Here is a 15,247-nt window from a genome sequence, read left to right on the forward strand (position 1 = left end):
ATGTAATGTTACAGAAAATATATACTGGTTTTGAGTATATTTTTTATCTTCTTAGAATCATTAAAATTTACTTTTAAAGTACTCTATTTTTAGCATATATTTAAGAGCAGAATGATGAGATTATCCTCAAGTATTTAAATTTTCAAAGTATCACTAAAGTCAAACTTCTTGTCCTTAAATTCGCATATTCAGTAATACAAATTAGATGTTATCCATTACTGAATAAAATATACTAGAAATTACTATACCATTCCTCTACATTCTATGCATGGGTAGGGAAGACTTAATTAGCAAAAATGACAATTTTTTAAAGTTTTTCATTCCTTTTATCTATGAGTTAATATTTTTCTCTAGAACTTGACTCAATATCAATGTAACTATACCTTTTTTAACCAGGTGGGGCCGATGGAGAGAGATTCTATCTCATGGCCGTTTCAAAAGGCAGCTAAATGAACACGATGTAGAGATAATTTGCCGAGCTCTCTTAGCATATTGCCTTGTTCACTACCGAGGAGATGAGAAGATTAAAGGTTTCATATGGGATCTCATTACTCCAACTGAAGATGGACAGACACGAGAGCTACAGAATCATCTAGGTAAGAACATTGTTTCATTTGCTTTTAAAATTTATTTTTAGTTATATAAGTAATACTTAACATATTCTCCTATAAAATATAAAAGCATTACAAATAATATTAAGGAACCTTAACCTTCACTCCCAATTCAAGTTCCAGCTTCAGAAAATGCCAGTGTTATCAGTTTGGTGGATTTTACATTTTGTTATCAAATACGTATCTGTTTGGAATTGATGACCCAACTAAATGTCTTAGAGGTCTTTCCGTCTATGCTCAGATAGATCTATCTCATTTTTTAAGTTCTGCTTAGTATTCCGTAGTATGGATATTCCATAATTTATTTAGTATCTCCTTTGATGATGGGTGTTTAGGTAGTTTCAATTTTAGACAATTAAAAAACAAGTTTCAGAGAAGATCCATGTACCCTCCTCCTTGTGCATATAAATAAATCTTTCACTAAAGTAGATATCAAGAATGGAATTATTAAAGTATAGCTTATATACATCTTTAGAACCTAAAATGTGGTCTCTGGGTCAGCAGCATCAGCATCTTCTGGAAGCTTCTTAGAAATGCAGAATCTTAGGCCTCAGATTTACTGAATAAGAATCTGCATTTTAACAAGATCCATAGGAATTAGTGTACATATTAAAGTTTGAGAAACATTGATATGCAATTTTAAATTTTCATAATACTTTTTAATTTTTGTTTATTATTTGAGACAGGATTTTGCTCTGTCCCCCAGGCTAGAGTACAGTGATGCAAACATGGCTCAATGCAGCCTCAACCTCCTGGGCTTAAGCCATCCTTCTGCCTCAACCTCCTGAGTAGCTGGGACCACAAGCATGTAGCACCACACCCGGCTTTTAAAAATTTTTTTATATTGCAGAGTCAGGGTCCTACCATGTTGCCCAGGCTGGTCTTGAACTCCTGAGCTCAAGCAATCCTTCCCCCTCAGCCACCCGAAGTGCTGGGATCACAGACATGAGCCACCATGCCTGGCCTAAATTTTCATTATACTTTAATTTGCTGTCCAAAATGGTTATGCCAATTTACAATCCTCTCAGAGGTATACGCTAGTACTTTTTGCTCCTTAGCCTTCCTAACAGAACATTCTTTTTTGCATGAAATAATTATTTTATAGCATAAAATAATTGAATTTCCAGTAAAAAATAAAAAGAATTACTATGCCCTTAAATTTGTTACAATTTTATTCTACTTAATCAAAAAATATCTGTTGAATGGCTGGTGTGTGTCTTGTGCAAGGTGTTGAAAAGATAAGAAGAAACAAGATAGACAAGATCCCTGAGCTCATGAACCTTACATTCTAACCAGGTAGACAGACATAGTAAGAATGTACATTAGTTATAGATTGTGGTAATTACTGTGAAGTAAATAAACTATTGAGATGGAAAACAACAGAAAGCACCCATTTTAGATAGGGTGGTCAGTGTAGGCCTATTTTAATAGGAGACAGTGAGTTTAATTAATGTGAAGACCTGACTTCTAGGTAGATGGAAGAATCACACAAATGTAATTTCACTCTTTCTTGAAACTCCACTAGAAAAAAGTAAGGCACTAAGCTTAACAAATTCTACAGAACAAAAGACTTGGATTCCTCAACAAATAAATTATCGGATTAGGAGTGAATAGAGAGGTATCTATTCACAGCCAAAGATGACTTTCTGCCCCAATCCCACCCCTACCACAGACTATCACAACCTTCAGCGTGTTACTGGCATCTAGTGGGTAGAGGCCAGGAGTTCACAGATAGTCTCCCGCCCCCCACAATGAAGAAATATCCTGCTCAAAATATTGTAGTGCCAAGATTGAAACCCTGCTATAACCTAAAAGAGATTGAAAAGTTATCAGCCAGTTGCAGTGTGGGGTCTGGGGACTTTATTTTTATTTTTATGTTTTGTGACAGGGTCTCGTTCTGTTGCCCAAGCTAGAGTGTTGTGACGTGAACACGGCTCACTGCAGCCTCAAACTCCTGGGCTCAAGTGATCCTCCTCCCCTATAGCTGGGAGTACAGGCGTGTACCATCACACCTGGCTAATTTTTTTTTTTTTTTTTTTTTTTAGAGGTGGAGTCTCACTTTGTTGCCCAGGCATGTCTCAAAATTCCTGAGCTCAAGTGATCCTCCTGCCTCAGCCTCCCAAAGTGCTGTGGGGGCTTTATTTAGATCCTGATTGAAACAAATAACCCAGAGGAAATGTTTTATTATCTTTATTAACTAATTAGAATGTTGAATACCAAATATTAAGAAGCTATTATTGCATCTTAGGGCTGATAATAGTGTTGTAGCTATTTTAATGGAGGCTTTATCACTAAATAGATACCTCTGTTAAATTAAATTTAGATACCACTAAATATCTTTTAGATATTGCTAAAAGATACCGTTGATATTTATGAATGAAATGATTGATTTATTACATTTACTTCAAAATAATGTGAAAGATTGGGGGTGAACAAAATTGGCCATGAGTTGATAATTATTGAATGTGGATAATGGGACTGTTGTATATACTTGTATTCTATAATTTTAAAATAAGCATAAACTCTCAAAAATGGGAGAGGAAACGGCAACAAGATTTTGGAAGCTGGAGGCAAATATATTAGTGGTAACTGATTTAACCAACCTGAGAGGGCTGAATCTTAGGTCAGCAGTGGGAAAGGCAAACTGCTTTGCTTTACAGATTTCCCAAATGTCTTAGGAATTTGTGACATCAGGAACCTCTGGAAGTGGGTGTATAAGGATAGAAGCTTTCATTCAAAGCGGTTTAAAAAAAGGCCCTAAATACCCTCTTCAGTTCCATGTAGCCAGGATGAAAACTGACTCAAAATTTTTTCTCTGGAAAGAGTAAAATAGAAGTCTGGATTGCACTGGTAGTTGAGTTGTAGAGCTACTAAATAGGGATTAAATAACTGTGTGCATTCTGGTTGTTCTATTACTCAAGGAATAAAACTAAAGGGCTTGCCCCAAACCTAAAGATAATGACAGGAGAAAAAAAAAAAACCCAGCCAGTTACCCTTCAGTGAGCCCACAATCACTATGCTCCATCCCTTCAGTCTCCCTATCACCTTTTTTATTTGTCACACTTAAATAAGAGCAAAAACAGCCAAGGATTATCAGGCATCTCAGGAAAGTCTCTAACATGAAAGAGAGAGACAAAAAACCATTGGCTGGGCACGGTGGCTCACCCCTGTAATCCCAACACTTTGGGAAGCTGAGGTGGCCAGATCACTTGAGGTCAAGAGTTCAAGACCAGCCTGGCCAACATGGTGAAACCCCGTCTCTACTAAAAATACAAAAATTAGCCAGCCATGGTGACATGTGCCTGTAATCCCAGCTACTTGGGATGCTGAGGCATGAGAATCACTTGAACCTGGGAGGCGGAGGTTGCAGTGAGCCGAGATCACGCTACTGCACTCCAGCCTGGCTGACAGAGCGAGACTCTGTCTCAGAAGAAAAAAAAAAAGAAAAAGAAAAAGAAAAAAAAACATTAAAATGAACTTGAAGGAAACAAGGATTTCAAAAAGGAGGACACCTTTTCTTTAACTATCATTAATATCTTCAAAGATACTTCAAATATACCATGACTTCGAAAGAATAAGGTGCTGTAAAAACAGTGAAAGCAGAAGCCTATAAATTATAACAATATATAATGAAATGAAAAAGTAAAAAGAAGATTGAATGATGAATCTGGGAAAATCTTGTTAGGAAGAAAATTGGAAATACAGAATATCTGTAGATTTCATTAGGAAAATTTAAGCATGTGTATTTTTAAGTATGTACTATTTCGAACCAACAAGGGTGGAGAAGATTGGAATACAGAACTATTTATCATTCCAGCAAAACAAAGAAAGAAGGAAGGTATGATAAACAATAAAATTGTAAAACTAAATATATAAACATATGTATGCAGCCTATGTATATTTTCACCTGTTAAAAGAGGAAAATTGTTAGATGGGGGGAAAAATAAACATTTTATACTTTAAAGAGATATTATTAAACACCAAACAAGCTTAAAAGTTTATTTAGTAAAACTACACCATGCGACTACTAAACCGTACAAAATGTTGTAGTACCATTAACATAGAACAAAGTGAATTTAAGATGGAAGGTATCAATTGGAATAAAAAAAAAGGGACACTACCTAATAATTAAAAAGAATAATCCATAGAAGAAACTATAACAAGTATGAACTTACATACATCTAAAATAGTCTCAAAATGTAAAGGCAAAAGAAAAAAAAAACCTCTGCCAAAATTATAAGGAAAAATGGACAAACCCATACAGTGCTTCAATGTACCATTGTAGTGGAGTACCCACCTGTTATAAAATGGCAAGGAAAAGGTAAATGAGGTACAAGAATTGCAAGAGGAGTCAAAACTGCATTATTAATAATTGTGAAAAATTACAAGCAAAACAGCTCAAATTCATGGAAGATTAATAAATAGGAGGTGGTATAGTTATGTAATAAATTATTATACAGAAACAAAAATAGATGAATTAGAGCCTCATGAGTCAACCAGGATAAATTTTTTAAAAGTTCAGAGTAATAAATAAGGTGCAGGCTTACATTTATAATATAATATCTGAAAACTTAAATACTAAATACTTATCCAACATAGGTAATAATAGTTCAAACATGCATGGAATGGAAAAACAAATTCAGGGTAGTGGTAATCTCTGGGAAGGAATGAGTGAATTTGATAGGAGAGGACTACATAGGGACTTCAACTATGTATTATTTCCTTTAATAAAAAACTAAGTGTTTGTGACCAGACTGGCCAACATGGTGAAACCCTATCTCTACTAAAATTACTAAAGTTAGCCAGGCGTGGTGGCGCATGCCTGTAATCCCAGCTACTCAGGAGGCTGAGGGAGGAGAATCACTTGAACCCAGAAGGCAGAGGTTGCAGTGAGCCGACATCACGCCACTGCACTCCAGCCTGAGCAACAGAGTGACTCTGTCTCAAAAAAAACAAAACAAAACAACAAAAAAAAACTAAGTAAACATGGACTATGTGAACATGAAGAGTGGCAGTACGTTTTTGTAGTTTTTAAATATTTCACAACAAATAACTCAAAGAACTAAAATGAGTTTAGCTATCTTGAAGAGGATGGCTAACCTAATCTATCTAAATCAATTTTGAAAAGCAAGAGTAGAGGTCAAAACATATCTTTTAGTATCTAGGAAAGCAAAAGTAAAGCAGAGGGCATAAGTTTGATCTTTTGGGTTTTATATTTGTAAAAAAATAATCTGTTTTGGAACAAAAAGGAAATCAGAATGATTAATATGAGATGTAGAATTGTTAGCTATTTGGGGGAAATATGTTTTAATATGTATAAAACCATCATCTTGATTTGTGGTTGGGTCAGTATTGTTACTAATATTTTAAAGATCTCTGAACAGACCTCAGAAAGTCTCCAGAAATTTCTTGCATTGAAACAATCTTTCAGATTGCAAATTTTTATACAAATTATTCCTAATTTATATGTCCTTATTTTAACAGGCCTATCAGCTCCTGTACCCAGGGGTCGAAAAGGGAAGAAAGTAAAAACTCAAACAAGCTCATTTGATATACAAAAAGCAGAATGGCTTCGAAAATATAATCCCGAGCAGCTCCTTCAAGATGAAGGCTACAAAAAACATATAAAACACCACTGTAATAAGTAGGTATAGGGTATTTTAAACACAACTCTTTAAATGTTTACTGTTCTGAATTTATTAATACTCTTTAAGCTTGCTGATTTTGAGTACAGAGACAGCATGGTCTAGGGCCAATCCTAATCCTAATTTTACAAGGTATCCTACAAGCAAATCATGATACCTCTTGTGTCATTGTTCTCACCAACAGATAAGTAAAACTGGCCTCCAAATGAGCTCATTATATCTTACTTGTATATGAAATAATGATGATTATGAAGATTTTGGAGAAGTTCTTTATATATATGGTAGTAATAAGATTCATTTAATCAGAAGTAATATTTCATTATTTTAAAATCTGTACACAAATTCCTTCCTAATTTTAACCCCATGTCCGAATATTTTAAACGATGAATGTCTTTATGCCTTTGATTTATTTTCCCTTGTTTTTAGGGTTTTGCTTCGTGTGAGAATGCTGTATTATCTAAAGCAAGAAGTTATTGGAAATGAGTGTCAGAAAGTATTTGATGGAGTTGATGCAAGGTAAGTTAAACAATTTTTATTATTTTTGTTTGTTTGTTGTCTTGCCCAGGCAGCTTCAAGCTCCTGGGTTCAAGCGATCCTCCCACCTCTGCCTCCTGAGAGGCTCGCACTGTAGGCACACCACCACACCTGGCTTAAATGATATATTTATTTTATTTATTCATTTTTTTTTGAGACAGTTTCACTCTTGTTGCCCAGGGTGGAGTGCAGTGGCACAATCTCAGCTCACTGCAACCTCCGCCTCCTGGGTTTAAGCAATTCTCCTGCCTCAGCCTCCCGAGTAGCTGGGATTACAGGCATGCGTCACCACGCCCGGCTAATTTTTTTGTATTTTTAGTAGAGACGGGGTTTCACCATCTTGGCCAGGCTGGTTTCGAACTCCTGACCTCAGGTGATCCATCCGCCTTGGCCCCCCCACAAAGTGCTGGGATTACAGGCATGAGCCACCACGCCCAGCCTATTTTTATTTTTCAATAACATGATGAGGCAAAAATTATATGACCAGAATATTGTATGTTAGGCGGCTCCTTAGTCTGTGAAACTTATAAGGTAGAAAATCCATGAAACTTAAGGAATTAACCCTTGCCAATTTGTTACTTCTCTTTTATTGCTCTCATCTTGGCCATCACTAGAAGTCACAACGTAACAATAGTAGTAGTAATATTAAGAATGGTATCTAATGGAAACTAGATGCCATTAAAGCAGACACAGATTTTTTATTTATTTGTTTGTTTATTTATTTATTTTGAGACAGAATCTCACTCTTTCACCCAGTCTGGAGTGCAGTGGCATGATACTGGCTCACTGCAACCTCCATCTCCCAGGTGCAAGTGATTCTTGTGCCTCAGCTCCCTGAGTAGCTGGGATTACAGGTGCCATCACACCTGCCTAATTTTTGTATTTTTAGTAGAGACGAGGTTTCACCATGTTGGCGAAGCTGGTCTTGAACTCCTAACCTCAGGTGATCTGCCTGCCTCAGCCTCCCAAAGTGCTGGGATTACAGGTGTGAGCCACCACACCCAGCCCCAGACACAGACACTGATTTAATGACCAATTCATTCATTCCTACAGAAGTACTTTTTGAGTACTCATTAAGCACCAGGCACTGTGAAGCACTAGGAATACAAAGACAAAACACAGTCTTGATCCCTAAGGAGTTTATGGTCTCAGTAAGGAGGAAATAGAAAAAACTATACCGCAATGTAATAAATACTTTTGTGTATGTATAGGATACCAGGGAGTGCTACTAGAATTTTCTATTTCTAGTTTCATCTTGCCTCTTAATACTACAAGTCACCTTTCCCAGTTTTCTTCTCCATTCTCTAATTATCTGAGTTATGCAGAAACCTACTACTCAACCCCCCATTCTCAGCAAATGATATTCCCCCACCTTTGTAGAGAAATGTAAGCAAGCCATAAAACAAATTCCTTCAGCTTCCTGCCACCAAATCTAAAATTTAATTTTTCTGTACTCAGTCTTTTCTTCTTCCCTCTTATTACAATTAAAGAAGGTTTATGGTGACTGACTTCTATATCCACCTATGATCCATTCAACACCCTGGTCTCTCATTTCCTTGGCCTTTATATAGTTACCTCTTTTTCTCCCCACTACAGCCGCATAATCACCTGGTCATACAGTTGATCTTGCTATCACCACTAACAGCACTTATTTAATCAGAATTTTGACAGTGACATCCTTCCTTCTAACTCACTTAACTTGGGTACTTCTCATTATAATTCTCCAATCTCATCACGATGTCCCCACATCTTAACACTTACTCACTAGCCATCACCACTTTCATGCCCCCTCTTTCCTCATTATTCAACATAGATTCTATAGTCTAGCACTCTACTTGCTAACTAAAATCCTTATCTATCTCCTTTTGCCTGTCTTTCCTTCTGTTCTAGATATCTATTACAACCTCAACTCAGGTTAATCTCAGCTAGCCATTTACTTCTTCCCTGCACCTAAGTAGCTGAACATTTGTGGAGAAAATCAAGCAAGCCATGCTGAATGACTAACTTCAAATTTGTGAGCATAGATCTCATCTCAAAAGAGATTAAACATCTACTGTTTAACTGTTGTGGCTAGTCAATTCATATTCCTACTCTTTAAGAGAACCATTTTGTACCTCTCTCCTCAAACCATCTTTCCACCCTCCAACTACCACCCTCCAATAATGACCTTGCTACATATTTCATGGACAAAAGTAGACACAGTCAGATAAGAGCTACCTTCAGTTTTACTTGCATATATGTCCACCTATTCCTTCAAGATACAGTAGAAATGTCCCTCCTCCTAAGGCAAACCTTGTGCAGCATGGAACTCGTTTCTTCTTACCTTTTAAGGACTTTACTCTTACCTTTCTGGGACTTTACCTTTCTTGGATCTTTTTTTCTCTCTCTCTTTACTACATCATTCTTCTGGCATACATGTATGCCTTAATATCAGTCACTTAACAAAGGAAAAAACCTCTCTCAGTATACATTCTCAGACTCCATTTCTCTAATCCTCTTCACCACAAACTCCTTTAAAAAGTTGCCTGTATTTATTAGCAAGATTAACCAAGAAAAGAAGAGAGAAAATCCAAATCAGCTCAAGTAGAAATAAAACAGGAGATATTACAACTGACACCACGGAAATACAAAAGATCATTCCAGGCTACTATGAATACCTTTATGTACATAAACTAGAAAACCTAGAGGAGATGCATGAATTTCTGGAAAGATACAACCATCCTAGCTTAAATCAGGAAGAATTAGATACCCTAAACAGACAAAGAACAGCAGTGAGATTGAAATGGTAATAAAAAAATTACCAACAACAAAAAAAGTCTAGGACCAGATGGATTAACAGCTGAATTCTACCAGACATTCAAAGAAGAATTGGTACCAATCCTTTTGACACTATTCCACAAGATAGAGAAAGAGAGAATCCTCCCTAAATCATATTATGAAGCCAGTATCACCCTGATACCAAAACCAGGAAAGGACATAACTGAAAAAGAAAACTACAGACCAGTATCCTTAATGAACATACATGCAAAAATCCTTAACAGAATACTAGCTAACTGAATCCAGCAACGTATCAAAAAGATAATCCACCATGATCAAGTGGGTTACATACCAGGGATGGTTTAACATATGCAAGTCAACAAATGTGATAAACCACATAAACAGAATTAAAAACAAAAATCACATGATCATTTCAGTAAACACAAAGCATTTGACGAAATCCAGCATCACTTTATGATTAAAACTCTCAGCAAAATCAGCATACAAGGGACATACCTGAATGTAATAAAAGCAATCTATAACAACCTATCTATAACAACCACACAGCCAACATAATACTGGATTGGAGAAAAGTTGAAAATATTCCCTCTGAAAACTGGAACTAGAAAAGGATGCCCACTCTCACCACTTCTGATCAACATAGTACTGGAAGTCCTAGCCAGAGCAATCAGACAAGAGAAAGAAAGGGCATCCAAATTGGTAAAGAGGATGTCAAATTGTTGCTGTTTGCTGATGATATGATTGTATACCTAGAAAACCCTAAAGACTCCTCCAAAAAGCTCCTAGAACTGATAAAAGAATTCAGCAAAGTTTCAGGATACAAAATTAATGTACACAAATCAGTAGCTCTCCTGTACACCAGCAGCGACCAAGCTGAGAATTAAATCAAGAACTCAACTCCTTCTACAATAGCCAGAAAAAAAAAAAAGGTACTTAGGAATATACCTAACCAAGGACGTGAAAGCTCTCTACAAGGAAAACTACAAAACACTCCTGAAAGAAATCGTAGATGACACAAATAAATGGAAACACATCCCATGCTCATGGGTGGGTAGAATCAATATTGTGAAAATGGCCATACTGCCAAAAGCAATCTACAAATTCAGTGCAATTCCTATCAAAATACCACCATCATTCTTCACAGAACTAGAGAAAAACAGTCCTAAAATTCATATGGAATGAAAAAAGAGCCTGCATAGCCAAAGCAAGACTAAGCCAAAAGAACAAATCAGGAGGCATCACATTACCTGATTTCAAGTTGTACTATCAGGCCATAGTCACCAAAACAGCATGGTACTGGTATGAAAATAGGCACACAGACCAATGGAACAGAATAGAGAACCAAGAAATAAAGCCAAACACAGCCAACTGATCTTCAACAAAGCAAACAAAAACATAAAGTGGGGAAAAGACACCCTATTCAACAAATGGTGCTGGGATAATTGGCAAGCCACATGTAGGCGAATGAAACTGGATCCTCTTTTCTCACCTTATACAAAAATGCAATCTACTTATCTGACAAAGGGCTAATATCCAGAATCTACAATGAACTCAAACAAATTTACAAGAAAAAAGCAACCCCATCAACAAGTGGGAGAAGGATATGAACAGACACTTCTCAAAAGAAGACATTTATGCAGCCAACAGACACATGAAAAAATGCTCATCATCACTGGCCATCAGAGAAATGCAAATCAAAACCACAATGAGATACCATCTCACACCAGTTAGAATGGCGATCATTAAAAAGTCAGGAAACAACAGGTGCTGGAGAGGATGTGGAGAAATAGGAACACTTTTACACTGTTGGTGGGACTGTAAACTACTTCAACCATTGTGGAAGACAGTGTGGCGATTCCTCAAGGATCTAGAACTAGAAATACCATTTGACCCAGCCATCCCATTACTGGGTATATACCCAAAGGATTATAAAACATGCTGCTATAAAGACACATGCACACGTACGTATATTGCGGCACTATTCACAACAGCAGAGACTTGGAACCAACCCAAATGTCCATCAGTGATAGATTGGATTAAGAAAATGTGGCACATATACACCATGGAATACTATGCAGCCATAAAAAATGATGAGTTCATGTTCTTTGTAGGGACATGGATGAAGCTGGAAACCATCATTCTCAGCAAACTATCACAAGGACAAAAAAACCAAACACCACATGTTCTCACTCATAGGTAGGAATTGAACAATGAGAACACTTGGACACAGGAAGGGGAACATCACACACTGGGGCCTGTCGTGGGGTGGGGGGTAAGGGGGAGGGATAGCATTAGGAGATATACCTAATGTAAATGACGAGTTAATGGGTGCAGTACACCAACATGGCACATGTATACATATGTAACAAATCTGCACGTTGTGCACATGTACCCTAGAACTTGAAGTATAATAATAAAAATCAACTAGAGATGGATCATGGACTTAAATCTAAGACCTGAAACTATAAAAATTCTAGAAGATAACATTGGAAAAACCCTTCTAGACATTGGCTTAGGCAAGGATTTCATGACTAAGGACCCAAAAGCAATTGCAGTAAAAACAAAGATAAATAGCTGGGACTTAATTAAACTAAAGAGCTTTTGCATGGCAAAAGGAACAGTCAGCAGAGTAAACAGACAACCCACAGAGTGGGAAAAAATCTTCATAATCTGTACATCTGACAAAGGACTACTAATATCCAGAATCTACACAACAAACTCAAATTAGAAAAAAAAGAAAAGTTCCATCAAAAAGTGGGCTAAGGACACAAATAGACAATTCTCAAAAGAACATGTACAAGTGGTCAACAAACATAAGAAAAAATGCCCAATATCGCTAATGATCAGGGAAATGCAAATCAAAACCACAATGTGATACTGCCTTACTCCTGCAAGAATGGTCATAATCAAAAAATCAAAAAATAATAGATGTTGGTATGGATGTAGTGAACAAAACACTTCTACACTTCTGGTGGGAATATAAGCTAGTACAACCACTATGGAAAACAGCGTGGAGATTCCTTAAAGAGATAAAAGTATAACTACCATTTGATCCAGCTATCCCACTACTGGGTATTTACCCAGAGGAAAAGAAGTCATTATATTAAAAACATACTTGCTCACACATGTTTATAGCAGCACAGTTTGCAATTGCAAAAAACGTGGAACCAACCCAAATGCCCATCAATCAACGAATGGATAAAGAAACTGTGGTATATATGTATATATGATGGAATACTACTCAGCCATAAAAAGGAATGGATTAATGGCATTTGCAGCAACCTTGGGGGATAGGAGACTATTATTCTAAGTGAAGTAACTCAGGAATGGAAAAACCAAACGTTATATGTTCTCATAAGTGGAAGCTAAGCTATGAGGATGCAAAGACATAAGAAAGACAGTACACTATGGGGACTCAGGGGGGAAAGGGCAGGAAGGGGGTTCGGGATAAAAGACTACAAATTGGGTGCGGTGTATACTGCTCGGGAGATGGGTGCACCAAAATCTCACAAATCACCACTAAAGAACTTACTCATGTAACCAAATACCACCTGTTCTCCAAAAACCTATGGAAATACAATTTAAAAAAAAAAAAAGAAATTTGTCTAAGGTTACCCAGATAAAAATGGCAGAGCAAAGATTCAGACAACAACAAAAAAGATTGCCTACATTTACTATCTCTACTTCTTTATCTTGCATTTTCTATTTAACCCATTCCAATGGATCTTTCTTCTTCGGGGTCTCACTAAAGTGGTTCTTAACACGGCCCCTAATGACCTACAGTGTGATCAACTCTCCAAATTTACTCCCTCGTCCTCCATAAGATGCTGTCTTCTGTAGGCATTTATGCTAACTATACCCATCTGGTTGTCCTTTTTCTCACTACTCTTTCCTTTTCATTCCCTCTTGCTAGCTCTTACTTCTCTAATAGATCTCTAAATACTGGATTGACCAAGAGCTCCGTCCTCAGCTCTCTTACCTTTTTCCTTAGGTGAACTCATGCAGCCTCATCATACCAAATATGATCTATAAACAGGTAAATCTGAAATTTACATATTTCTCCCAGAACTCTTTCTTGAGTTTGAAGCCATTAGTCAACTGCCTCCCAACATTTCCACTTAAATGACCAACATCTTACTTTCCCTGGCTTTTCCAAATCTCCTGTCTCCAGTCCTTTCTCTTTTCCTTCCCATGTACAAGCCTTCTCCATCCTAGTAAATATACAACCCATTGCTCTGTTGTTATTCTTGATTCCTCTCTTCCCTGTTAGCTTGACAAAATACATGCCAAATCTGAGTACCTTTCAGTACTATCTCCTCTGCCAAATCCCTAGTCCAAGCTGCCATGATCTCACAGTTAGACTTTTGCAATGGCCTCGTAACTGATTCTGTTTTCCTCCACTTTTGCCTCTCTAGGCCTGTCCTTCACACAGCAGCCAGAGTGGTATTTCTAAAGCAAAAATCAGGTCTTGGCACTCCTTAACACCCTCCAGATGTTTCTAATTTCTCTTAGAATAAAATTCAAATTCCATATGACCTACAAGGGCCTCCATAACTCTGTACGTACTTTCTTTACTGTGTCCCTCACCCACCATGCTCCAGCCACAGTGGTGGTTGTGTTTTGCCAACCTGTCAAGCTCATTCTATGCTGTTCTTCCTGGTCCAAATATTCTTTCCCCAGGACTTCCACAGAACCGCCCCTTCAGATTACTCGGATCTCAACTCAAGTATTTCCTTCTCAGATAGACCTTCCCTGCCAACCTCAGCTTAAGTAGCCCACCAGTCATTCACTACTACTTAACCTTCTTTTATTTCATTTATAATGCCTACCACTACTTAAAAATTACGTTAATTTGTATATCTTCTTTCTTTCATTACAATTTAAGCTGCTTGAAGGTAAGTATGGAATCTGGGACATCTTAAACACTCAGTAAATATTTGTCAACTAATTGGCTCCTTTCCCCTAGCCTGACTGGATCTGATCCACTTGTAATTTTCCCAGGGACTGCTCTCTGTGGATTGTACCTTCTTTTTCCTCTTTCAGTAATTTTCCCCCTTTTCCTTCTCATTTGGATTTTAACATGTTTACATCTCTGTCACCTTAACTTACACATACACACATGCGTGCACACAACAACACTTAATGCTTTTGGACCCAAAATATCTTCAAACTACCATATTATTACTCTCCTTGATTTCACTGCCAAATTTATGTTAGGAAGCATCTGTAAGGGGTTCACAGTGACCAGTCCTGTAATCCCAGCACTTAAGGCCGTGGCAAGTGGATCAGTTGAGCCCGGGAGTTTGAGATGAGCCTTGGCAACATGGCGAAACCCTGTCTCTACAAAAAGTAGAAAAATTGGCTAGGTGCGGTAGTGCATGCCTGTAGTCCCAGCTACTCTGGAGGCAGAGGTGGGAGGATCACATAAGCCCAGAGAGGTCAAGGCTGCAGTGAGCTGTGATTGCACCACTGCACACCAGCCTGGGTGACAGAATGAGACACTGTCTCAAAAAAACAGAAAAGAAAGAAGCATCTATGTTTGTTGTCTTCTTTTTCTTCCCTTCCATTCACTATGCAATCTACCACAATGCAGCTTCTACCTCCTCACCCCAGATGTTCGCTGATATTCTTGCTGCCAAATTTGATGGATATACCATAGTGCTTACCTTACTTTACCTT

The 15,247-nt window shown here is 37.4% G+C and overlaps 1 protein-coding gene across 43 annotated transcripts in view; it reads left to right on the plus strand.

Moving 5' to 3' along the window:
• Positions 1–15,247, plus strand: part of CHD9 (chromodomain helicase DNA binding protein 9) — a 272,507-nt gene that overhangs the window by 212,540 nt on the left and 44,720 nt on the right. For all 43 annotated transcript variants that reach the window (XR_007064921.1, XM_047434707.1, XM_047434693.1 and 40 more), the window contains 3 exons: positions 397–596; positions 6,096–6,255; positions 6,683–6,772. Coding sequence is in view for 42 of the 43 variants with exons in the window: in XM_047434707.1 (XP_047290663.1) it covers positions 397–596; positions 6,096–6,255; positions 6,683–6,772 (450 nt within the window). In the remaining variant the exon portion in view is untranslated. The remainder of the gene's footprint in view (positions 1–396; positions 597–6,095; positions 6,256–6,682; positions 6,773–15,247) is intronic.

This window comes from Homo sapiens, chromosome 16 (assembly GCF_000001405.40).
Source record: "Homo sapiens chromosome 16, GRCh38.p14 Primary Assembly".
In the NCBI taxonomy this organism is placed as follows: domain Eukaryota; kingdom Metazoa; phylum Chordata; class Mammalia; order Primates; family Hominidae; genus Homo; species Homo sapiens.